At 33.9% G+C, this 26,755-nt stretch overlaps 1 annotated feature.

Annotated features, from left to right (window-relative positions):
- Window positions 1,095-2,294: an enhancer, noted in NCBI's record as "MED14-independent group 3 enhancer chr4:117524371-117525570 (GRCh37/hg19 assembly coordinates)". NCBI's record gives its function as "activates an origin of replication core promoter dependent on BRD2, BRD4, P300/CBP and CDK7 cofactors, and independent of MED14, by STARR-seq in HCT116 cells {active_cell/tissue: HCT116}" and the evidence as "EXISTENCE:reporter gene assay evidence [ECO:0000049][PMID:35650434]".

Below are 26,755 nucleotides of genomic sequence, written 5' to 3' on the forward strand. Positions count from 1 at the left end.
GGGATTTCAGAACTCTGGGCAGTAACTGAATAAACATCATTTGGATCACAGAATGTTCCACCTTTGAAGATTGTCAATAGTATTTGTTATCTTTGAAGCTGTCTACTCATCATGCTGAATGTCCTCAGAATTTTTAAGGACACTCAGAGAATGCTACCTCTATCCAGATAGTCAGAGGAATGCCATATGAACTTCTCTGTTATTCCTCCAGATGTCCTTGGGAGTTACAAGGAAGAATGTGTATTTCTTAAAGGTCCATACCCATAATTTATCTAGGTTTGGGAAAAATTATCTGTTATTATCCTTTTGAATAAACTGTCTACCCCTATCTCTTTTCCTACCTCCACTTTAAGGACAATAACCCTTAGATTTGCCATTTTGAGGCTACTTTCTATATCCTGTAAGTGTGCTTCATTGTTTTTCATTGTTTTCTCTTTTGTCTCCTCTATTTTCAAATCACCTGTCTTCAAGCTCACTAATTCTTTTTTTCTACTTGATCAATTCTGTTAAGCGACTGTTAAAAGACTATGATGCATTCTTCAGTATGCCAATAGCATTTTTTAGCTTCAGAATTTCTGCTTCATTCTTGTAAATTATTTTAATCTTTTTGTTATATTTGTCTGATATAATTCTAAATTCCTTCTCTGTGTTGTCCTAAATTTCTTGAGTTTCCTCAAAACAGCTATTTTGAATTCTCTGTCTGAAAGGTCAGATATTTCTGTTTCTCCAGGATTGATTCCTGGTGCTTAAGTTAGTTCATTTATTGAGGTCATGTTTTCCTGGGTGGTCTTGATACTTATAAATATTTGTCTGTTTCTGGGCATTGTAGAGTTGGGTATTTATTGTAGTCTTCTCAGTCTGGGCTTGTTTGTACCTATCCTTGTTGGGAAATCCTTCCATATATTCGAAGTACTTGAGTGTTGTGCTCTGAGCTGTATCTGCATTAGGGGTTACCCAACCACAGTAACACTGTGGTTTTTGAAGATCCACAGGGGCATTTCCTTGATGGTCTTAGACAAAATCCAGGAGAATTCTCTGGATTCACAGGCAGAGATTCTTATTCTCTTTCTTCAGTTTCTACCAAACAAATGAAGTCTCTCTTTGTTATGAGACACTTAGAGCTGGTGGTGGAGTGACACAAGCACCTCTGTGACTACCACCACTAGGAATGTGCTAGATCATACCTGAAGCCAGTACAGCACTGGTTCTCACCCAAGGCCTGCTGTAATCACTCAATGGCTACTCCTTATGTTCATTCTAGGCCCTGAAGCTCTACAGTCAGCCAATGGCGAAGCCAACCCAGCTTGTGTCCTTCCCTTCAAGGCGACAGGATTCCCCAGGTCCTTAGACATCTTCATGGTGTTCTATTGTACTGTGGCTGAGCTGACACTCAAACCATGAGACATAGTGCTTCACATTCATCCCTCTCCTTTCCAAAGGCAGAGGAGTCTCAGCACATGGTCACCACCATCACAGCCCACAGACAGTCCTGACAGATGACTGTCATTGTTCCTTTAAGGCCCAAGGTCTCTTCAGTCAATTTGTATTTAATGCTGCCTGTGCTGGTACTCACCATTCAGGGCAACAGACTCCACTGTGGTCCAGGGCAGGTCCGGAAATGCTGTCTAAGAGCCAACCCAAGAGCCTCCTTGGTGTTCTACTCCTCTGTGGATGAGCTGGTAACTAAAAGGTAAGATAAAAATCTTTACTCTTCCCTTTTCATTTCTAAAGTGGGAGGAGTCTCACCCTATAGCTACCATAGCTAGGACTCCTCTGAGTCCCACCTGAGGCCAGAAAGTCTCAGAAACTCACCCAAGGCCCTTGAAATAGAACCTTGCTATCATTGTTGGTTATTCATGGCCCAAAGTTTCTTCAGTTAGCCGTTGACAAATCCTGCCAGGACTGGGTCCTTCTTTTCAACGCCAAGGCTGCCTTTTTGGATCAGGGTGTTTCTAGAAGAGTTATCTGGGAGCTAAGGCTTGGAAACGGGGACTCACGACTCTGACCAGTGTCCTATCCTGCTGTGGCTGAGCTGGTATCCAAATCCAAGACAAAGTCCTCCTTCCTTAAGTGGAAGGAAGGGGTCTCTTTTGGAGTCACAAGCTTTTTTTAATCTGGGTTAGGAGACAGGTGATGCCAGTATTCCCTTAGTCATCCTGGCTGGTATCTTAGTAGGTTATGTGCCCCCCCCGTTCCCTGGCTCTGGGCCTAGTTCAGCACTAGGTCTCACCTAGGAATTTCAGTTCTTGTGGCCAAGGCTGACTTTCTATTTTATTTAGGTGCCCAAAGCCATGTTAGTTCACAGTGGTTAGGCTTGTGGGAATTCAAGTGCGGACCACTGGGAAGGGTGATTCCCCTCTGGCTAGGGCTGGCTTAAATACTTTCTCCATGGGTGGGCGTCAGCTATGTTTGGTCCGGTTTTGTTTTCTGCTATAAAAGGGTAGCACTACATGTTCAATGCCTCACAATTGCTGCACTTTACCTCTCACAGAACTGCTCTCTCTACCATACTGCCACCGCTGGGGACTGGAGGAAGGGTGTCATCAGTGACTCAAGACTATTTTTCCTACCACTTCAGTGCCTCTTTCATCAATATGAATGCAAAACCAGATACTTCGATTGCTCACTTGATTCTTGGTTTTTATAAAGTAGATTTTTGTGTGTGTGTATGTTTGTAGATAGTTGTTAACTTTGTGTCCTTGCAGGAGGGACAATCTGTGGAGACTTCTATTCTGCCATCTTGCTCCACCTCCTCCATCATCCACACTTTTCAACTCCTGCATATTTCATAATGATATGTTAAGTGGGTGTATTAGTTTGTTCTCGCATTGCTTTAATGAATACCTGAAACTGAATAATTTATAAAGCAAAGAGGTTTAATTGACTCCCAGTTGTGCAGACTGTACAGGAAGCATGACAGCTTCTGCTTCTGAGGAAGCCTCAGGAAACTTACAATCATCATAAAAGATGAAGAAGAAGCAAGCCAGAACTTGACCAGAGCAGGAGGAAGACAGGGTAGGTGCGACACACTTTTAAACAACCAGATCTCATGATAACTCACTCATTCACTATCAAGAGAGTAGCACCTATGATAATTCACTCATTCACTATCAAGAGAGTAGCACCTATGATAACTCACTCATTCACTATCAAGAGAGTAGCACCTCAGGGATGATGCTAACGCTTTCAAGAGAACTCTGTGCCCATGATCCAATCAGCTCCCACCAAGCCCTACCTCCAACACGAGTGATTACAATTTGACATGAGATTTGGATGGGGAGACAAACTCAAACCATATCAGTGGGATTAAAATAATAACTTTTGTTTTCATTATCACTATTTTTATTTCTGAATGAATGCATGTATTTCACTTGTCTTAGACTGCTGTGACATATTACCATAGATAGGTGGCTTACACATAACACATTTGTTTCTCATAATTTTGGTCTCTGGAATTCCTTAGATCAGGCGGCCAGCATGGTTGAGTTCTGGTGAGGGTCCTCTGCCAGGCTTCAGACTGCCGACTTCTCACTGTATCTTCACATGGTAGAGAGAAGAGAGGGGAAACAAGTTCTCTTGTAATGACTTTTCTAAGGGCACTAATCTTGTTCATGAGGCTCTGCCCTCACGAAGTCATCAAATCTTAATTACCTCCCAAAAGCACTACCTCCTAATACCATCACAGTGGGGATTATGGTTTTAACATGAATTTGGAAGGATCATTCAGTCTATAACACCAAGAACATGTGAAACTAATCCTAAACATGGCAATGAGAAAGTTTGATCTGAAGTTCTAGAAAGAAATAAAGTGGTTTTTCTAAATAGAATTATCATGAGACAATGAGGTTAACTGTAGAAAGATTAAAATGACTAAGATTTCAAATGGGGATTTGGGGGCAACAGGAATAGTTTTGGACTTTTGCAAGTATGTGGATCCTGTGTTTTGATTTAATTCCACCTGGAGTAAGAATACCTTTGTTTGAAATGTTTGCTCCTCGGTGCCATAAAGAAACAGCACTTGAACATAAATTTAATTTATTTATTAGGGCCATTTTTACTTCCTGCAGAAAGGGTACACTCACCAGCAGTTTTTCCACGAGAATATACCGAACAAAGGTGACAGGGCCATGTTTAACCTGATGCGTCCACCGTACTGCCGTGTCTGGCTTCCACTGGCTGGAACGGAACCTCACATTCTCTATTTGTCCCGATTGGCTAGAAACTTAGAACTTTTTAAAAGAGGCAAAGGTAGAGAGGAACAAAGGAAGGAGGAAGCAACTTGTGGAACGCTGAGAAAGGTAAAAACACTTTTAAATAAGGAAGAGGAACAGACAATGACTTAATGCTTGCTTGGAGCAGTATAAGCATGCCAGGGCAAATATTTAGGCTAAATTGTGGGAGCTAAGAAGATAAAGTATACTGATTTCTTTACTAAAGCTAACAGATATTAAAGAATGTTAGCACAGGTCTTTGAATAAATTTTGCTTCTAAGAGAAGTTACTATTTATTCCTAATTAGATGGGGAGGAAAGTCTTTGAAGAGGAACCTCTACTTTACTTTTTACACCTTTAAGATATAAAGTGGTTTATTGTTTGAAAAAAGTAAACTCATCATGATAATTCTCTATCCCACAATTTAGAAGTTAGAATTGCATGATGGTAGAGAATAAATCGCAATAATAATATGGTCATTGGTGATATTTAGAAGTCATGCATTCAGGTCTAGACAATGGCACATTTCTAATCATTTTCTACATATCATTTGAGCAAAGACAAATTAAATAGTAAATTTCAAAGCTTGTAAAGAAGGGCAACTCAGTATTTGCTAAGGTTACTGAAATTTTGTTTTACCAGTAAACTAGAAATTAAGGAGATAAAATGTTCTGGTAAATAGTGTTATAAATGGACATGAGACCCGGGTGCCTTACTTGCTCCTCATGCAAGCCAAATGAATGTTCATTGGCTTTTTTGTCTTCAGTGAAGTAAACAGAAAATTAAACTATTTGGAGCAGCTCATGATATCCTCTTCATTTTATACCATTATAAGTTGGTGAAAAACAAGTGGATCAAGGTGAAAGAACAAAAAGGAGAGGAAAATAAGATTCCACTTCATTACAAAAAGGAATTCTTCTTGACCGTCATTAGACCATCCTCACTTTTTTGTGTTCACGCATCCATATATTCTACCATATTTTTTAAAGGGATGTTTATAATAAAAAGTCCCACAAATGCCAGCTAATAAAAGCCTGTGTTTTTGTGTTCATAAATGGTAAATCCCAATACGAGATAGTTATGGTTGGTTGTTTTATGGGAAACACCATAAAATTTTTAATAAACTTTCTAAGCATGCTCCAGAAGGAAAGACATCTATCCATACAGATGTAAATGTATTAGCGGTATTTTGATATTCAGTCATTTGGCAAATGAGAAAATTGTAAAATAGTAGGGATAAATTTTAAATGTATGTCATTATATCTGGAAATGTAAATTTACTATGGAATATAAATACTAACAATATCATATTGTATTTATCCTTGGTGGTATATTAAGAGACATAAATGTATTCATTGTGATTTATAGTAATGTGTCATTTGTCAAATCTCAATATGATGTACTTGCCTTTTGGATGAGGTGGTACTAAAACTTGGAAAGAAATGTGAGTTGGAGAACATACATTTATTTTGTTAGAAGAAATTGTGATGGTTAACAAAGCTAACCATTTAAGCAGGTATATTCTCAGATTGTTCAAGTCACTGCAATAATTAATTCCAAATGAATTTTATTTTGAAAATACTACTTATAAAATATGTTTAAAATTTAATCCAGTAATATGTTCTTTCTTATCTATTTCATGAATTAAAGATATGAAGTAAAAAACAAAAGAAACACTATTAAATCTATTTTATATATTTATTTGATGAAAAATTATTTTTTTCTATGATAGAATGAACCTTGGACCATTGTTTATCATTTTGTGTCTTCAGGACTTACTTGCAGGTTTCTTGTGGTATTTTAAACTGAAAATGATTTGATGTTAGGGATTACTTGTTTAATACAGGAGTTGGCTATTGGTAGGATCTCAAAGAATGACTCCAATGTGCCATGACTCCAATGTCCTGCTGGAGGATCTGGTGTTTCTGACCCTGACGTGGATGAGGGGACAAAAGGGACTTCCAAGGCTTGCATTACAATAGATTGTTGGCTCCTATCCCTCCTGCTCAGAACTAGACCCTGGGATGTTACTGAATAAAACCTTAGATCTTCTCAACTGTATTTTCTGACAGAAAATAATTAAATAGAATGCCAGTCCACCATAAAAATATCACACAAGTGTATCTCTTCAATAAAAAGCAATTTGCTAATAAAAGCTAAGAGATATGTAACTTTTAATGTTACTACTTCTTCAGGACAAGTAGGCACACAAAAAGACACAATGAAAAATGAGAGCACTAATCCCACATATTTACCATAATTTACATTACTTTTATATTTCAAAGTATTACTGATTTTCTTGTTCCTCTAAAAATAAAATAAATGGAGAATAAGAATCAAATAATATTTGGATTTGTAATAAAACGTTTTTATGCATTTTATGTATGAAATGAGATATATGATTTACTTAATTTGAAATATGATTGCTGATATTATATATAATCACATCGAAACTTTGCAATTGTTAGAGAGACTAAAACTTTTAATATGTTCTCCTCAACTTAGTTTTAATGGTGAGTTTTATTCTATGCTAGTAATTGAAAAAGAATAAATGTGAATGGCATGCTCTCTGCTTTTATTGTATTAAACTATGATCATATATAAAATGAAAGGCTTCCAGCACCTATCGAGTTTTGAAAACTCTAGAAACCATAGAGGTATGAAGGAGAAAAAAGTGGAAAGAAGGACACAGTCACAAAAATGGTTTTCAGCCTGTAGTGACACAGGCTACAGGCCAGAGACATCAGCTAGCTGATGTGATGATGTTGGTTCACCTTACCCTGCCCAATTAATCTTGCTAGCAATTAAAAAAATTCTGAGACTTATTGGCTTATATACGCATGCCTTTTGAAAATTTCAGGATATAGTGAGGTAGTTTAAGATCTCACCATGGAAAATATTATGAGACAAATGACAAACACTGGGGGGGAAATGATTAGATTTTCATCTTGCATTTGACTACTCACTAGCTGTGCTTCCTTGGGAAAATTTTTTATAATCCTCTGTGCCTCAGATTTTTTATCTATAAAGTGAAGAAAATAATAGAAGCTAATACAGGGTTGTTGTGAGTGCTAAATGTTATAGTCCACATAAAGCTATTAGAATAGTGAGTATTTAATAAATCATTTATATTTATCATAGGCATAGCAATGATAAACCATTCAGTAGAGTTAGAGTAATTCAACAAGATATAAGTCTCTTCATTTTTCTTTAAGAGTTATGAATAAAACATCTATGATAAACCTTTAGTAAATTATATTAGATACTAATAAGCTTATACCCACACCCATATATACACACACATATATATATACCATAAACTAAATGGAATAATTGTTAAATACTGCATGAACTGAATGTTTATGCCTTCCCCTAAATTTGTATGTTGAAAATCTAATCTCTAGTTTGGTGGTATTTGGAGGTAAGGTTTTTGGGAGATAATGAGGGTTAGGTTAGGAGCTGACTGTGGAGATACCATAATGGGATTAAATGTCTTCATCAATAGAGGAAGAGATATGAAATTTCTTTTTCTGCCTGAAGGTACCAAGGAAGGACCATGTGAAGACAAAACCAGGAAAAAGGCACTCACCAAGAATTCCATCATGCTAGCACCCTGTTCTTGGACTTCCAGACTCCAGAATGGTGAGAAGTAAATTTCTGTTGTTTGAGCCACTCATTTATGCTAATTTGTTACAGCAGCCTGAGTTGACTAAAATGAACACTAAGTTAATCTTAATTAATTATAATTATAGTCAAGTAAAATATTTAAGTGATGAATCATGAATATCTACAAATGTAACAATTTAGATATTTATTTTCATGTGGGACAGTGAGTGTTATAATTACCATATTTATAGATTATATTTGTATTTTTCCTCAGGTTCACTAAAAATAGAAATTCATCAAAATGTAGCAATTTTATGAAAAATCAGTGTATGAAAGTTTAATTCCATATCACCTTTGCTATACAAATCATAAAATGGACTCAATGAGAAAGTTTTCATACAAAAACATATATAAATCTAGGTATTTGACCTTCACTATACCATATATTTTTACACTTGTGAAAAAAGATTTAAAAGTTTTTAAAGCTTAAATGAATTCGGAAATTTTCATGATATTTGTAAATATATATAGGAGTGATTCCTGAAATCCCAAAATGAATTAAAATTTAATTTCAAAGTCATAATTTAATCTATTCTTGTATTTAAAAATCCAGATGTTATAATTTATTTATTTTATATGTATTTATTTCATAATAAATAGGGATTAATGCCTTTAAGTAATACAGCTAATTGAGATTTTTTTATATTTGTTTTTAGTATTTGATTCAAACTCCTCTTTAAAATTTATCACTGTAGAATGTTGTGTTTGTCACCTTACACATGTATGTATATTTTCTAATCTCTTTGTTAACACTGCATTTCAGTGTATTTCTGTTGAGGTTTTTATTTATGTTTTGGTATAACTACATATTTTTAAGAAGTGACCTTTTGATTTGACTGTTTAGCTGACCTTAATGCTAATAAGATGGGGATGAGGTTTCTAATGAACTTGTGTATGGGAATAATGATAGATGGCTTATTTGGAATTCTACAGATGCAGCACTGCCAAGCCTGCTGAGGAGTCTTTGGATCCTCATTTAGAGAACGGTTTTATTGATTACACACAGAGAGGGAACTTTTTAATCATTTTTATGCACTGTATTGCCTGAGGTAACAAAAATCCATTAAACAAGGATTATAAACTTTGTTTTAAACTAGATCCTAAATTGTTCCTTGATACATAGTCAACATAGGCTCTATAAGATCAATCACAGTTACTAAGGCATATTAAAATCAACTTGTTTAATTTTAATTGCTCATATGCCTGACCCTCTGAGGTGTAAGTGCTCATGAGGCTAAATTACTTTTCTCCCAGACAGGAGTTTCATTTTAGGTTTGGGTTTTTTACCTGCTATATGGCATCTTAACTGCTCTAATATTTATTTATTTTTAATTCTGATGTCTTTGTCTGCATAAAAGATAATTTACTAACAGTCAGAAATTTGTACTCTGCATTTTATGCAATTTTTAAAGATTTTTCCAAACATTTATTTGAAGCATTAAAACAACTTTGTGAGTGTGCATGTGAACACACATACACCAGTAGACACAAGCTCATGTTCCACATGGATGTATCTTTACAAAATCCTGACTGGTTTTAAGCATTCAAATTAGCTTTATGATATGTTGTTGATTATATTTATATTCTTGTCAGGGCCTTACTATTTCTGAATAAGCTCCCAATTGAACCATTATTTCTAAGAGAATATAAGATGGGTTTTATCATAATTTTATTTATAATGAGCTTTTAGAAAATAAACTGTATCTTTCTATAAATTAGGAGCAATATCAGAAGTCATACCAAGAGTGTAGTTAATGTGAATACAACTGTGTCATATTGTAATTCTCTGTAGCTATATCTCTAACTTGCACTGTGTTTTAATTCTCAATTTATACCCACAGCACTCATTTGAGTCATTGACCTTTTTGCAGTTAATAAATTTTATTTGCATTTAAGCCTCCAGAACTCAGCATAATTCCTGGCAAATGGTAGATGTTCAATAGACTGATTGAATGGATGCATGGATACACATCATGAATATTTGGGACAGATTAATCTGGCATGTTGAAATAATTAAAATGTAAAAACAATTGTTGAGTTTTTTTATGGGAGACTGAGGCAAATTTCCAAACAAAAAATAATGTAAGATGGAAGGTGACCAACAGGAAGGTAGTCTAAATAGCAGTAGGATAAAGGGCAGACAAAGGGAGACATTATTGAAATAAATAATAAAAAGTCCATTTGTGGGACTTTGCTTATGCTTGTTTCTATATCTAGACAGGACAAAATCTTTTCATAGCCCTACCTAAAATATCCCTGTTCTATAAGGGAAACTAACAGCTCACTTATTCCATTAAGGTTTTCTGCATACCGGTGGCAAACCTGTTGAAATATTGATTTTATTGTTAGGTACACGTTCAATGCTAGAAGCCAACATTAAAATTTTAGTCATGAAAGGTTATTTTAATATGTCTAATGCATGCCAATTAACTAGTAAACCTCAGATCATTATTTTCTAATTTTTTTCACATAAATTGAAATAAATGTCACCAAATATTAATGTCTTGCTTCTCGCACACTTCTTTTAACTTCGATTTAGCTGCTGATCTAAGTAACTCAACCAAAAATATTTAAACACTAAATCAAATGCTACCCACAGTAACTAACTTATTAGTGGTAATATTATGTATATATTTTTAACTTCTTATGATTTTAGTATTCCTATAAACTGGTACAATTCCATGTACTTACACTATTTCATATAAGATCAGAAATGCAAAACTATTATATAGTAAATGTGTTTATTTACTTCAAATTTTGAATTGTTTTAAGATGTTTAAGTTTCTAGCCTTTCTTAGAGGCATGTATGAACATAATTAATTACTACTGATTTACTAAGAAAAGTCATGCCACCTATGTTTAAACAAAGGAAAATAAATTACTCACAAAGTTGTGAGAAATGAATATTGAATTTAATTTAGTTTTCTCATTTGTCTCCATATACTTATTCTAAGTCAACGCCATTCTATGATTCTTTTACGGAACATACACACACATACCCACATCCCCCCTCCCCCCCACACACACTTGCATGTCCACATGCACATGTGTGAGCTTTAGTGAGTTGGAACCTAATGTTTCCACCAAATTTTGGTCAAGTTGTTGCCTACTATGTGTATATAGGAAGTTTATGTTGACAGAGTACCTTTAAACAAGTTGATTATGATAACTGGAATTCATCAACTATAGTTATCTTATAATTATCAGATTTTTATTCTATTTTACTCTATATTATTGAACTATTATTAAGTAAGGGAAAAAAAGCACTTTGGGATGAGCTGTATGTTCCACGTAATTCAATATTTAGAATTTGTTAGAGGAGTCACCCAAGTGAATAACTGGCCTGCCTGTTACTATCACATAACTTCCTTTTATCTATTCACCCACGTATCCTTCAGTTGAACAATGTGACATTTCTATATACATCTTTTCTTCTTTTTTATTTTTTTTAAGAGAGGGCTTCACTCTGTCACCCAGGCTGGAGCACAATCCCAGCTCACTGAAACCTCAGCCTTCCAGGCTCAAGCAATCCTCCCACCTCAGCCTGCTGAGTAGCTGGGACCATAGTTGCACCACATCCGGCTAATTTTTGTATTTTTTTGTGGAGACAGGGTTTTGCCATGTTGCCCAGGCTGAACATTTCTATATATTTAATATCATATTTTCCTTAAATGTTAAGCTTTGCCTAAGTGTTGCATGGATTTGTAGAGAGAAAGTCCCTGAAAGGTCACACAGACTTTGACCAAAATGAAAAGTTGGCAGAAGGTCACATACTCCTTGGTGACCTGGGGACAGACTCATTTTCAAAGTCTGACCGATTCCAAAACTCAACCATTATCTTAAGTACAAAAGGACAGGTCACAATCCTCAAGCACTGAGTATTGGATATCCAGAAAAAAATGTTACATGATTTAACCTGAAATTCAATTTATATATGTAAACTGTCTTAGTAAAAATAAAAAAAATCTTATCTTTGATGCATAAAAAAGCGAAAAACTACTGGAAGTACTAAATACTAAAATTATGTAATATGTGTTGTATTTTTAAAGCTCCCTTATTATATCTTAATTCCTATAGAGAGGGAATATTTATAGACAATATTTATTAATGTTTAAAAAGATATTAAAAAGCACAAAACAGGCTTTTCAGTTTTTTTTAATATTTCCCGAATATTATTCAGTTTCTGGTGCCTTAAAAGTATTGTGATATATTTTGGGTGGTCAGCAGGGTAGGTACTCCCCTTGCCTTTCAGAACTTACATTACTATACAGACATTTAAAAATTATTACAGGAAAGAAGTTTGAATGTGATAGGAGTAGGAAAGAGGAGGCTAACAAATTTATTATTGCTTTGATTTTATAAAATTGACAATGAGAACATGTTTTTACTCAGAAGTTCAGAAAGAGCACACATAATCTTAAGTGACAAAGACACACCAGACTGTTTAGGCAGATCATGCAAATAAACCCAGATTTCAAAAGTTGGAAATCGTTACAGCCAGTATATATAGAGGTATGTAGGAGAACCAGAAGATGAAGTCAGTTTGGCATGAAAAGACAAAAGTTCAGTTTGATTATGAAGTAATCTTTATTATGACATGAGCGAAGCAAATTTAAGTAAAAATATCTGTGATACGTTGATCAGTGTTAAGATAGTAGAGAATGGCTAAAGCAAAGAAAGAATGTCAGTATAGATGTGAATTTAAAAATCACTAATATATTTTGAACTCTCTTTGCACTTGCTGAATTAAAAAAGAAGAGAGATAAAAAGTAAAGGACAGAGCTTATATACAACATAAGATATAGGAAAGGAACATTTTTTCAACTTTATATTTAAAATGCTATAAAGTTGGGCTAATACTTCATTAATTTATTAATATTACTGCATGCTATTTCATTAATTATAAAATTTCAAAATACATTAAGGAACAAGTTGAGTATGGAATTATTCTTTTTCATTAAAAAGACTATTAAAAATTCATTCTAAAATATTATCCCTTATTTTCTTTATATCAAAAAAACCATAAACAAAAATTTAAAAAGCAAGGTAATAAAACAAACCATATTTGTCAGATGTATGCAGAAAGTGGAACTTGAAAAATAAAGATATATGCATAGAAAAGAGACACACCAGGGTATTGACAACAATTCATTTGATTATATTTATTTCAGCAAACCAAATGAATAGTTGAAAATATTACTCATGAGTAGGAACATATAAAAGATCAGTAATGTGCATGAAAGAAGAAAGAAAGAAAGAGAGAGAGAGAAAGGGGAGGGAGGGAAGAAAGAAGGAAGGAAGGAATGAAGGAAGGAAGGAAGGAATCGAGGAAAAAAAGAAAAAATTGAAGGAAGGAAGGAACAAAGGAAGGAAGGAGGGAAAGAAGGAAGGAAGGAAGAAACAAAGGAAGGAATGAGGGAACAAAGGAAGGAAGGAAGGAACGAAGGAAAGAAGGAGGGAAAGAAGGAAGGAAGAGAGGGAGGAAGGAAGGAAGGAACAAAGGAAGGAAGGAGGGAAGGAAGGAAGGAACAAAGGAAGGAAGGAGGGAAAGAAGGAAGGAAGGAAGGAACAAAGGAAGGAAGGAGGGAAGGAAGGAAGGAAGGAAGGAACAAAGGAAGGAGGGAAGGAAGGAGAGAAGGAAGGAAGGGAGGGTGGGAGGGAAGAAAGGGAGGGAGGAAGAAATCGAGAAAGAGAGCAAGAGTATTTACAGAAGGAAGGAAGGAGAAAAGAAAGAAAGAAAGGAAGAAAGAGAGAGAGAAAGAAAGAAAGAAAAGAAAGAAAGAAAAAGAAAGAGAATAAGAAAGAGAGAAAGGAAGCCACAAGGAGAAAAAGATAAGAAAGTAGAGGTAATCATAAATGAATGCACTTTATGAGATTAGGGAATGTACTAGTAAACACAGAACAAGAGATATAATATTTTATAAATCATATATGAAACTTAATTATATGATTTTTTTTTTAGACGGAGTCTCGCTCTGTTCCCCAGGTTGGGGTGCACTGGCGCAATCTCAGATCTTGGCTCACTGCAACCTCCTCTTCCTGGGTTCAAGCGATTCTCCTGCCTCAGCCTACTTAGTAGCTGAGATTACAGGCACCCGCCACCACGCCCGACTAATTTTTTTATTTTTAGTAGAGACGGAGTTTCACCATGTTGGCCAGGCTGGTCTCCAACTCCTGACGTCAAGCGATCCGCCTGCCTCAGCCTCTCAAATTGCTGGGATTACAGGCATGAGCCACCATGCCCTGCTTACTTAAACTTAACTATATGAATCTATATTCTGGCACCTGAAATTGAGAAATATGTGGAGAATGAGGGAAGATATAAAAGTAAGATAAGCACATCATCTTGCATGAAGATGTGCATAATGATATTTAATTCTAGTTATTGAATATTAAAGAAAATAAGGTTAAAAATATTCTACACTAACATTAATAATTTATTCCAAATAATAGAGGGTAAAATATCAAAGTGCATATAGCAGATGTTCAAAAATTTTTAAAACAGAAGTAGAAATATTAAAACTAAATGATGAAAGTAAGATTAACATGTTTGCCCTATCATACAACCTCATATGACTGACTGAAATATGTATAGAGACTTATAATATGCAAAAAATCCCAGAGCATGTGGTCATATCAAAAATTCATGGAACATTTACAGAAGTTCAGAGAGTTAACCCCAAAAACATCTAAAACATGGACTACAGAGTAATATAATTAAGAAATACATAATTCAAGTTAAAAATGATTTATTTCCTTAGGAATTCAAACTTATTCTAAAAAAAGACCAAACTGTCATAATCACTGATTTGCCAAGTTTCTTATTATTATTTATGTATTTTTATTGACAATTGTGAATGACCAGAAAAGACTCATCGTCAAATAAAAGTGAGAAAGTTTAGCCCATTACATTCTTCTCACACTTTTCTTCCTGTCACAGATCTCAAAGTAAAGTAAAATGCATTATTATTATCATGAAAGAAAATATGTATTTTAAAGCTTAGAAAGTACAAATAATGTAAGGAATTTAAAATTAATTTCTGGTTAAGTATGTAAAAGTAATAAACTTTTATTTAAAAAAGTAAAAAAAGGAGATTTTTGTCATTAGTATTTCTAAGCAGATTTTGACCCTAACAGTAAATAATGTCCTCATTTTTATTTAAATAATGTTCCCTATAGTGGGATATTATGCATAATACTGTGTTAATAAATTTAGACAAAATAGTTTTTTACTATTATACCTATGACTATATTTTCTAATTTTTTCTAAGATAACTTCATTAGCAATGTTTGTGTAAATATTTTGTATAAATGCTAAAAATGAAGAGTTTATTCCCTAAAACAATTACATTACATTTATCTGAAATCTTGTGCACCAAAACTTCCACTGTAAGCTTAAAGCTAAAGTCAAATGACCTAGGAATCTATATTTGACTGTACCACTTACAAGCTTTATGAGTTTGGGAATTTAATTGTGATTCTTCTTATATATGTGAAAAATGATTAATAATATATACATTTGTAGGGTTGACATCCATTCTTGTTTTAATGGGTTGGCAAAGTTCAGATTATTATTGCGTATTATCTGAACTGTTCATTGATTCATTCGCTTATTCATTCATTTAATAACTATTTTCTAAAATCCTTCTTCTATGTTTGAAACTGTTCTATGTGTTTTGGATACATTAAGAACAGAAAAAAACCTCTGGTCTCCAAGAGCTTACATTCTAGTGATTATCAGATCAAATATGTAAAATCATCTAAACATATTTGTTGTCTCATAGAAAAAGCACAAAAAACATATGTTTATAGATTTTAAAGTTTCTTAATTTTACATTATTATGACATTTCCTTAATAATTAAATGAGAAATTCAACCCGGTAGATTTCAATAAAGTGAACATGTGTGTATAATTATTTAATATCCATTTATATTTATTAGATTTATCATTTACAACATTGTGAATCTGTTTTAATTACTTCTCCTTTATTAAAAATTTTTTCTTTGATTCTGAGCCTTCCAATTCTTTTCTGTGTACTAGGTAAATGTCAACAATTTGAGTAATTAATAGGAGAGCTATTCTTTTAAGATTACAAGTATTTTTGGCAATCTGCATTGAATAATAGCTATTTTCATCTATTTGTGTTTTTCATCAAACTTACAATTTCTTGATTTGAAAAAAACTCAGAGGATGAAAATTAAATATTTGTTTAACCCCTACTATCTGCATGATGATTTAATGCCTTGAAATGCCCATAGCAACTGTGGGAAATACATATAACTAACATTCCATAGGTGAAAAAATAGAGACTACTTTGGTAAATGGAAGCATAAAGGATTGAATACTCGCCTGATTAACTCTATAGTTGATTTTTGTTTTTACACAAAGTTGAATATGAACAAGTTGTTAGAAAAAAAATCAGTATTGTCTCTGTATACATAAGTAATACACACAAAAGAAAGGGAAATTTACACAAGAATACAACTGGTACGTTTTTAGGAGTAACTGAGAGTTATATGGATTTACACCTACTTCTCAGCCAATTATGGAGCACACAGATGGTAGAGTTAAACACTTGTCCTAAGTAAGCGCTTGATTGTGTGATCTTTAAGTATCTGTGGACTGAGTTTGTGAAAATGAGTCAACTACAACTTATCATCAAACAGTCAAGGTATCACCAATTTAGAAGTGAATGTTTTCTGCTAAAAGTACTTTGTTTAGTAATACATGCCTCTTGACCCATAAGAACATTGACCAATAACTTTCACAGAACTTTTCACTGCCTTTTTGTGCAAATACCCAGAAATCCATGTTTCTGAACGTTTTAAGCATCAGCTTCATCAATCATTTTGACAGCCATTGGGCTGGATCAAAGACCCATAAAAAGTTGCAACATGGATGAAAAAACAACTCAGTAGAAAGCAGTTGAAAATGAAAATTTTTCATCATTTTTATGCAGTCTAACTTCTTGAATTTTCATGCTTCAACAGAAAAGAGAGAATGAAATTAGCAAGTACAATGACCAGTAAGAATTGAAAATATAACCTTAAAAACAGATTTGTCTGTCTTTTCTCAAACATGTTTTTGGAACGCTTAATTTTTTCTCTTTATTACTTGGATGCATATATAATACATATTTTAATTTCTTACTTGACTTCTTCTGCAATGGTGATTGATAAGGGATTCCTTCAAAACACTTTTGATTTCCTCCTGCTGAAACTTCTCATTGAAGTTACAAGCTTCATGGTTAAAAAGTAATTTTAACTTATATAAAATTCAGGAAAACTGTCTTGGTTGTATTGTTTTGCCTGTTTGTGGGTATGTGTGTTTGTGTGTATGTATGTTTTTGGTTGATTTGTTTTAGAAAACAAATACCATTTTTTTTCTAAGAAAAAAAATGTAGCGTGTTTGAATTATTTTGTGTTCGAAAGGTTTGGCTTTTGTAATTGAACTACAACCTGAACTAAACTATTTTACAGTCTGTGAATTAATGTTGCCAAAGTATCCTGTAAGTAAAAATTAACTGATAATAAGGGAGAAGACTACCCCTCATATTGTCTTATGCTCAATTTCTGCCTCTAAACAAAGAAGAAGTAAAAACTAAAAGGCAGAAATGAAATCCACAGGCAGACAGCCTGGTGCCGTGCCCTAGGCCTGGTAGTTAAAGATCGACCCCGACCTAATCAGTTATGTTATCTATAGATCACAGACATTGTACAGAAAAGCACTGTGAAAATCCCTGTCCTGTTCTGTTCCAATCTGATTAACGGTGCATGCAGCCCCCAGTCATGTACCCGCTGCTTGCTCAAATAATCACGACCCTCTCACACGGACCCCCTTAGAGTTGTGAGCCCTTAAAAGGGACAGGAATTGCTCACTTGGGGAGCTCAGTTGTTGGAGACGTGAGTCTTGCCGAAGCTCCCAGCTGAATAAAGCCCTTCCCTCTTTAACTCTGTGTCTGAGGGGTTTTGTCTGCAGCTTGTGCTGCTACAATAAGTTGAAATGACTTAAATTCAATAATATAGGAAAAGATACATTTATCTGTCCTAATAACAGAAGAATAAAATCTGTCTTTGCTTTCCCATAAAAAAGTCTCTTTTAAAAACTTACTGAATTATTTATTTATTATTTCAAATAAAAAAATATTGTTTGTCCCTTTCCAACTATTTGGCTTAAACACTCTATTTCTGACAGAAAAATAACATTTAAAGTATTTTTTCCACATATTGTCTTTCAAATTATCTAAATTTATTTTCTAATAAGTGCCATTACTTGTAAAAAGTTTTCTTAGAAATAAATCTACCTAAAATACTTGAAACACAGAGTTAGAGATCATTTTAAGATGACAAAACCTAGTGATGGCCCAAGATATTGAATTTATCTAGTTAATTTTCAACTAGATCTAACCATTAAGAATAATTTTACTAACAAAATTTTGGTGGAGAAATCCCTGAGTTTGCATGTTTGTGCAACATAATTTTAAAGGAAGTTGAAAATAATGATGCTTTCAAAAACTTACGAAAAATTTAAAAATGGTTGACAATGATAACATTTATTGAATACTCTTATGTAGTGAAGCAAAAAGTTTAGTTTTAAAAGTGACAGTTTCCCAATATATACCAATTCAAACAATTATAAAACTACAGAAAATAGAATAAAAAGGCCAGGCATGGTGGCTCATGCCTGTAATCCCAGCATTTTGGGAGGCTGAGGCAGGTGGATCATCTGAGGTCGGGAGTTTGAGACCAGCCTGACCAACATGGAGAAACCCCATCTCTACTTAAAACACAAAAATAAGCTGGGCCTGGTGGCACAAGCCTGTAATCCCAGCTACTCGGGAGGCTGAGGCAGGAGAATCACTTGAACCCGGGAGGCGGAGAGGTTGCAGTGAGCCAAGATCACACCACTGCACTCCAGCCTAGGTGACAGAGCAAGACTCTGCCTCAAAAAAAAAGAGAAGAATAAAAGAATATATTTAATATATTTAATAGTTGAAGATAAATAATTTTAGTGCTTATTTTCATTGTTATCCTTGATAGCTTTCAGAAATGATGCAACTGACGTTTGTGGAAGAAACACATCTCCTTCCTTATTATCTTCACAGTCATTGCTTGTGGGCTTTATCTATTTATTAACAGAGTCACTTCCCAAGCTCTGACTCTGCTACAAATATCGATCTTAGAATAAACTGCTGAAGGACAATGGCCCCACGAATTGCTAAGTGTCCTTAAAACAATTAGACTCTTTTGCTCTTGAACAAATGAATAGTTGAGTTTGTCAGCCAGAACAGACATGGTTGTATTGCCTATGGACAAATTAGACTCCTCAAATATGCCCTCCACGTTTGTCCTTTTTCTACTTCTCATAATAAACACACATAATGCCTTTTATTTCTATAGGCTTCTTTTCTACGAAATCTTCGTTTGTGGGTATATATGAAAAAGAAGAACATTGCATCAGGACACTTCCTTGATGAGTGCTCAATGAGAATCCAGGCTTCTAGCAAAAAATTTAAAATTCAGGAGCATAAAAAAAAAGCAATTCATAAATGAGTGAAAGGAGCACTGCAGTTATAAAACAAATAATTATTCCATAGTCACACTTGAAAGTCATTAGTGTGTCTAATTTCTGAATGAAAGATACTGAACTATTTTAAAACCGTGTCCACTCATGTGTTCCCAGCTCTGTGCAAAAACATAGCAATACACATATGACCTTTAAATGAAACACACAAATATTTAAAGTCTGGGTAATTATAAAATGTTTTCATATCTTACAATATTTAAGTAATTCACATAAGTTCATTTTTATTGACTTAGTCAGTGCCAGCACTTATACCCATTTTCTACTTATCGGTGACATGAGTTAAGACACCTGACAATGTAAACAGCAATATGATCTCATTTGTGTGGATGATTTAAAATTTTATGTAAAGTTGTGATTTTTCAAGCCATCCTCAGTTTAGGGATATCTCCTTGAGCTTGAGTAGCTCATTTTTAAACAAAATATTAGAAACTGAATTATTACTACCTGTTTATATTCTGGATCTATTATTTGACTGCTTAATGTTCATTTTCTCTCATCGATGAAAGAATGAAAACACAAAAAAGATGTTTCTGTATATACATATACATGATAATGAATTATTTCAATGAAGACTATTCAAAAACAGACACAAGGTTTGTGATGCATTCATTCACCAATTCAGCATCATTTCACATCTGTCTAAAATTAGGTACTGTGTTAGCTGATGCTTCTTGTTTCCTGTTGAGTTCACAGTAGTGGACAAAAAAATACAAACATACCTCACAGATCCACTTCAATGCAATAAATGCGCACTTGAAATGTATGTGTCCATCTGAAATTGATCTTTTGAAACAAGTATATGACAGGAGTGTGCAGCATGAAAGGAGCATGGGTCTGGGATTTGGAAAACTATTTAGGAAACGTGTACTCTGGTTTTGATACTCATTTCATACTCTAACAGAGTTAGAGATCATTTTAAGATGACAAAACCTAGTGATGGCCCAAGATATTGAATTTATCTAGTTAATTTTCAACTAGATCTAACCATTAAGAATAATTTATCTAATGATTTAACTAATGATACTCATTAGTTGTTGGAACGTTAGAAATTCACTTACATTGTTTGTGTCTTTCTTGCAAAATACAGGGTTTTAACATCATATAAATAATTTTTTAGGTAAATCTCTCACTTAAGGATGCTCCTTAATTGAAAGTTCTGATTTTGTTCGTGTCATCAAATGCTGGATATTTTAACAGCCATTATTATGTTTAAACTACAACCTTAGAAAAAAATTGTTGAAACATTATGAAAGGAAAGAATAAGAAAAATTCCTCTTGTTAATTCTAGTTGCTCTGTAATATTTGTGATTATTTTTACTCAAAATGATAGGGTGACTCTCTATATGTTGTCAAACACCCAAACCATGAGAGGTTTATTATCACTATGTATTATAAACATATTACCCTGTGATCTCAGCTGGTGATTATAGAAATATTTTTTCCATTTTTGTAACTTTCTGAATATAGATAAAATATTTGAATTCATGCACACTTACTCTTGTTTTCCTATTTAGTCATGGCATCACTTTTTCTCACTTAAGGCAACAACTTTCAGTAGTCAAAAATTTACCATAAGCAAGTGCTAGTTTGTATGTTTAAGTTTTTCTTAAAGCCTCAGTTAAATAAAGTAAAAGTATGATTTTCTAGCTTCTAACATAACATTTTTTCTTTCTGAATTTATGGTATCAGGAAAGAGAGTTTATGGAGATCTCGGAGAAGAGGCCCAGATATGGCCACTCCGCAGTTACATTAAATCATTTAAACACAGAAGCCTCCATAGAGACTTGGGGAATGGTTTTTTCTCACTGATATTATTTTTCCATTTGAAAGTCATCCTTGAATTTTAGGCCCAGAATGTGTCTAAAACAAAAGGCATTATTAATTTTATTAATTGTCATATAATAAAAGTTTGCTTTAAAGATCTTAAAATATATTATATAACAGTAAATATAATACTTCCCTATAAATTTAGAAAGCAATTTAATGCAGAAAACCCAACAGGCTCCGCATTAAAGCAAGTAGTGTCCCAGGAAATTTTACGTACAAAACTCAGATGGTCAAGCTGCGGAAGTGGTGGGGGTGAAGAGCACGTGATGCCTCCTCATGGGATGAGCCAGATCAGTGAGAAATCTGCAGGGAAATATGAGCCAGAAAATGGGGCACAGTGATCTCATTAAGAAGAATTAACAAAACAATGACAATGAAAAGCCAGAGTGTTTATTTTAAACATTCTGATAATGCACAAATTATCCATATATTTTTGGTTAATACTGAGACACAAAGGATCTTTAGAAAATTAGACAGGTACTTCCTTTTCTATTTAATCTAACTTTAAAAAACCATAAAATTTACATTAGAAAATATATTCAAATAACTAGAAAAAATGTTCATTAAAAATCCAAACTATGTAATTAACAACTGAATATTTACACCGTATTTACACCTTTCCTTACTTCTGTGACTTGCCATGATGGATGACACATGTCCCACCTTCACCAGCATGTGATAGAGAAAGAAGAAATATTGATATGTAGAAAAGAATATGCCCCATGAAACTTATGCCAGTCTGAACATAAATGGAATGTAATTTCCAGAAAGTGTCATATTTGAGAATCAGTCAGAAGTATTTGAAGTGTAATCATAATTTAACATAATTAATAGATTTTAATGGATTCGAATTCATGCATAAACAAACAAGAAGAGCTTAAGAAAAATGATTTTAGTGGTAGACAAAAATAAGTTGTCTTTGGGTAGATTACCTGGATGTAATTTTGCTTATCTTGTATAAAAATGGCAGCTTAAGAGAATGTATCTGGGCCTGGCACGGTGGCTGGCTGACGCCTGTAATCCCAGCACTTTGGGAGGTCAAGGCAGGCGGATCACCTGTGATCAGGAGTTCCAGACTATCCTGGCCAACATGGTGAAACCCCATCTCTACTAAAAATACAAAAATGAGCTGGGCGTGATGGCGGTCGGCTGTAATCCCAGCTACTCAGGAGGCTGAGGCTGGAGAATTGCTTGAACCCAGCAAGCAGAGATTGCAGTGAGCCAAGATCCTGCCACTGCACTCCGGCCTGGGCAACAGAATGAGACTCCATCTGAAAAAAATAAAAAATAAGAGTATCTACCTGACTGTGTAAGTATTGTTGTGAGTGCTGATGTATTTTTTGTGGGTGTGTTTATGAGAACAAATTTATAGGTATTCTTGAACAAAAGGGGTAACTCTTTTTGCTTTGTATTTTAAAAGGCAGTTGGGTCAACATTCCTCATTATCACATAAGAGTTCTCATTTAACACTGGTCACTTTCAAGCTAGCCCTGTTACTTCAGTGAAATTAAGAGCCACTTTACTGGACTCTTTTTGATCTGTGAACATGGGCTCCCACGTGTTATTGAGTGAGATTTGGAACCTAAAATTTTAGCACAGATTTAAACAATGAGAGTCACAGTAATTGGGTTTATAATTCTCTACTTCTACAAAAGGAAACATTGATTTCTCAATTTCAGGATAAAACAGATAATCATAAGAAAATGATTATAATTACTATCAACTAGATATCCCAAGAGATTTTAAATACATTTAGAGAAATAAGTTGTTTCACTCTCTAAACTACATCATTAGTAGTATTTCCAAAAAGTGCTTATTTTTGCAAAAGTTAGGCATAGATTTGGCAGTTTAAAATACGAAAGAGGTCTTTTTTAATAGCTTTCATTTTTCCTAGTATTTCTAATGCCTCCCCTTTGTTACTTCTTTTATCTTCTTCCCATGATTAAGAATGCCTAATTTCCTAGTATTGTTATTTGAATAATAATATTAATTTTCCACTCATGCAGTCCTGAATTTACTTGTGAACTAATTTAACAAATTGCTGTAAAAAACCAATAGAATTGGACATTTGAATCTTAGTTGTGACATCATTTGAGTGTATGTACACTTAAGAATGTGTGTATGTTTTGTCATTCTCCTGTATTATTCAACTGTTTATTTTCAATATCATGTATTTCTCCCTTTAATTCCTTTTGTTCCAAGTAGACTATGTATTTTCCCCTTTACAAACACTCTTATCTGAAACAACATTTATACACAAATATTATTACTTATCTAGCTCAACTGTGGACCTTTACATTTTTTTAAATAATTGTAGTTTTACTTTTTTCACTACATTTTTAGATTTTTTTTGTAGTTTTATTTTTTGGATTACAGATTGGGTGCTCATCAATAATTGAGCCTTTAGCTTCCTTTTTTCTAATATTTAGCACTTTAAATTCTTTATTTTAACAAATATACTTTTTAAAAATTTCCAAGTATATTTATTTTTTCTAAGATTATTATTTATAGTAATTTGAGATACATGTATACACATATTATCTCCTTAACTTTATCTAAGGGCTACTAATTATTAGTTTAGTTTTCTTTTGTTTTGAGACTGGGTCTTACATTGTCTCCCAGGCTGGAGTGCAGTCGTGTGATCATGTCTCACTGTAGCCTTGATCTCCCAGGTACAAGCAATCCTCCCATCACAGCCTTCCAAGTAGGTGAGACCACAGGCTTACATCACCATGCCCGGATTTTATAATTATTATTTTTTGTAGAGATAAGGTCTCACTATGTTGCCCAGGCTGGTCTCGAACTCCTGGACTCAAGTGATCCTCTTGCTTCAGCATCCCAAAGGCATGGCATTACAGGTGTGAGCCACCATGCCCTAATTTAGTTTTTAATTTGTCTTCATTTTCATTCACTTTCTCTGTCTCCAAATAATATGTATTCATCTACTGTGACATGGACATGTATTTAATTAACAAATTAATTAGATAGAACCCCTTCTTACTTTTATTTTCATGACTCCATAGTCAGAATTTCCCTCAGGGATAGCTTTTATATCAACAGTTAATGTGCATGCAGTACTATGTTCCAGGCGTCCCTTCCAAGGTTCAGTGTATTTTAATATATTTAGCTATTGTGAGATGATAGATAACTTGCTCAGGGTCATAATGCCAATAAATGATGGAGCCAAAATACAAACACTAGGGCTGCAGTTACAAACGTGTTGCTTGTAATCACTATATTGTACCGCCCTTCACAGAAACTGCTTTTGTTATTAGGAGAGTGTTTGATGACAAAAGCCATATCATATTACTAATCAAAAGATATCTTTCTATTAGGATACATATCATCCCTCACGCTCCAAGAAAAAAGTAAAAAAAAGAAAAGAACTATATAGCTATTTATTGATGTGTATTTTGATTGTGCATGCAGTTTTTCAACGATCAAAATATCAGATTCATAAAATGATTATATAAAATTCAGGAGTTCAGAGTTTTTTTCCCAAAAGGATAATTGTTATATTTCAGATAAGTGATATATTTCAGTTCAAAATCTGTATACACTTTGGTTAACTAGGACCTGTCAGTTCACAACCAACTAGTTAGTTCCATATAAAAATAGTAGCACTAGCTGTTTATACAGATTTTTTTTTAAATTCCACTTTCATTCTAGCTTCAGGAGGTACCTGTGCAGGTTTGTTACAAGGATATATTGTGTGATGCTGAGGTTTGCGGTATGATTGAACTCCTGGCACAGTTAGTGAGCATAGTACTCAATAGGTAGTTATGCAACTCTTGCCTCCTTTTCCACTTACCCATCTTGTATTCCCCAGCACCTATTGTTCCCATCTTTATGTCCATGTGTAACCAAAGTTTGACCCCCAGTTATAAGCAAGATCATGCAGTATTTGGTTTTCTGTTTGTGTGTTAAGTCATTTAGGATGTTGGCCTCCAGCTGCATCCATGTTGCTGCAAAGCACATGATTTCACTTTTTCTTATGGCTGGGTAGTATTCTGTGTTGTATACATACCACATTTTTTAAATCTAATCCACTGTTGATAGGCACCTGAGTTGGTTCCATATCTTTGCTATTGTGAACAGTGCCATGATGAACATATGGGTACACATGTCCTTTTGGTAGAAGGATTTATTTTCCTTTGGGTATATACTCAGTATTGGGATTGCTGAGATTAACAGTAGTTCTGTTTTAAGTTATTTGAGAAATCTTCAAACTGTTTTTCACAGTGGCTGAACTAATTTACATTCCCACCAACAGTGTGCAAGCATTCCCTTTTCCCTGCAGCCTCGCTAACATCTGTTATTTTTTGACTGTTTAGTAACAACCATTCTGACTGGTGAGATGGTGAGATGATATCTCATTGTGGTTTTGATTTGCATTTCTCTGATGATTAGTGATGCTGAGCATTTTTTCATACTTGCTGTCCTCTTTTGTATCTTCTTTTGAGGAGTAGCTGTTTATAACCTTTGCCCATTTTTTCATGGAGTTGTTTGTTTTCCTTGTTGATTTGTTAGTAATTTTTAATCTTAGCTTTTATTTGTAAGATAAATGATGTGCTGTGTATATTTTTGTATATGTGAATTATTGTTATTGTATTATGTAGTGCATTTACATGAGTGCATTATTATCAAGAAATAAAAAATTAAGATTATTTTCAAATTTTTGAGAAATTCAAAGGTTGCACTTGTGATATGACTGCCAATTATATTATCAAACATAATGGAGTATATTTACAATTTATTTAATCCAAGTTAATATAATCCTGAGAGGAACAGTTATTGCAAACAAACAGTAACATACTTTGTGCAAAATTAAGTAAAAACAAAATCTCTTAAATAATACCTTCTCTCCTGCAGAAAGAATAAAAGGAATTCTTGAATAGAGAAGAAAGGGAATATGTGCTTTCTGTATCCTCCAACTGGACATAGATATTAAAGCTTAAATCTTGCAATTCTGTTATGTATTCTAAATATGTGTTAAAATACCTGGTTAAGATCTGTCATCAATTAAGTAAACAAACTTTAGGCTAATGAGAAAGCTGTCAACAATGACACAATCTTTTCAGTTGCAAATAGCTGTTAAGAACTCCACTTGAAATGCCTGTCTTCATTGATAAAAGAGATATGATGCTTCAACTTTTATCTTAATACATCTACCTTTTTCTATTCTAAGGTATTAAAACAATCTCAATATAATTACTCAGAGTAGATTTATGAAAAGTGTTCGGTAACTTCACATTATTGGTAAGTGCAAAAGTGGAAAATAATTTTGTGATAAATTAAATATGACAAGATGGTTTGGGGATTTTGACAAGGAGTGATAAGATTTTATGGAAGTGTCATCGACTCACAGTCTGCTTTGACATGTTGGGAGTGAAAACCTAATATAGGGCAGGTCTATAAAGCTACTTGTGTAGAGAAATGACAGACATGTGCCAACACTCATGGA

This window comes from Homo sapiens, chromosome 4, assembly GCF_000001405.40.
Source record: "Homo sapiens chromosome 4, GRCh38.p14 Primary Assembly".
Lineage (NCBI taxonomy): Eukaryota > Metazoa > Chordata > Mammalia > Primates > Hominidae > Homo > Homo sapiens.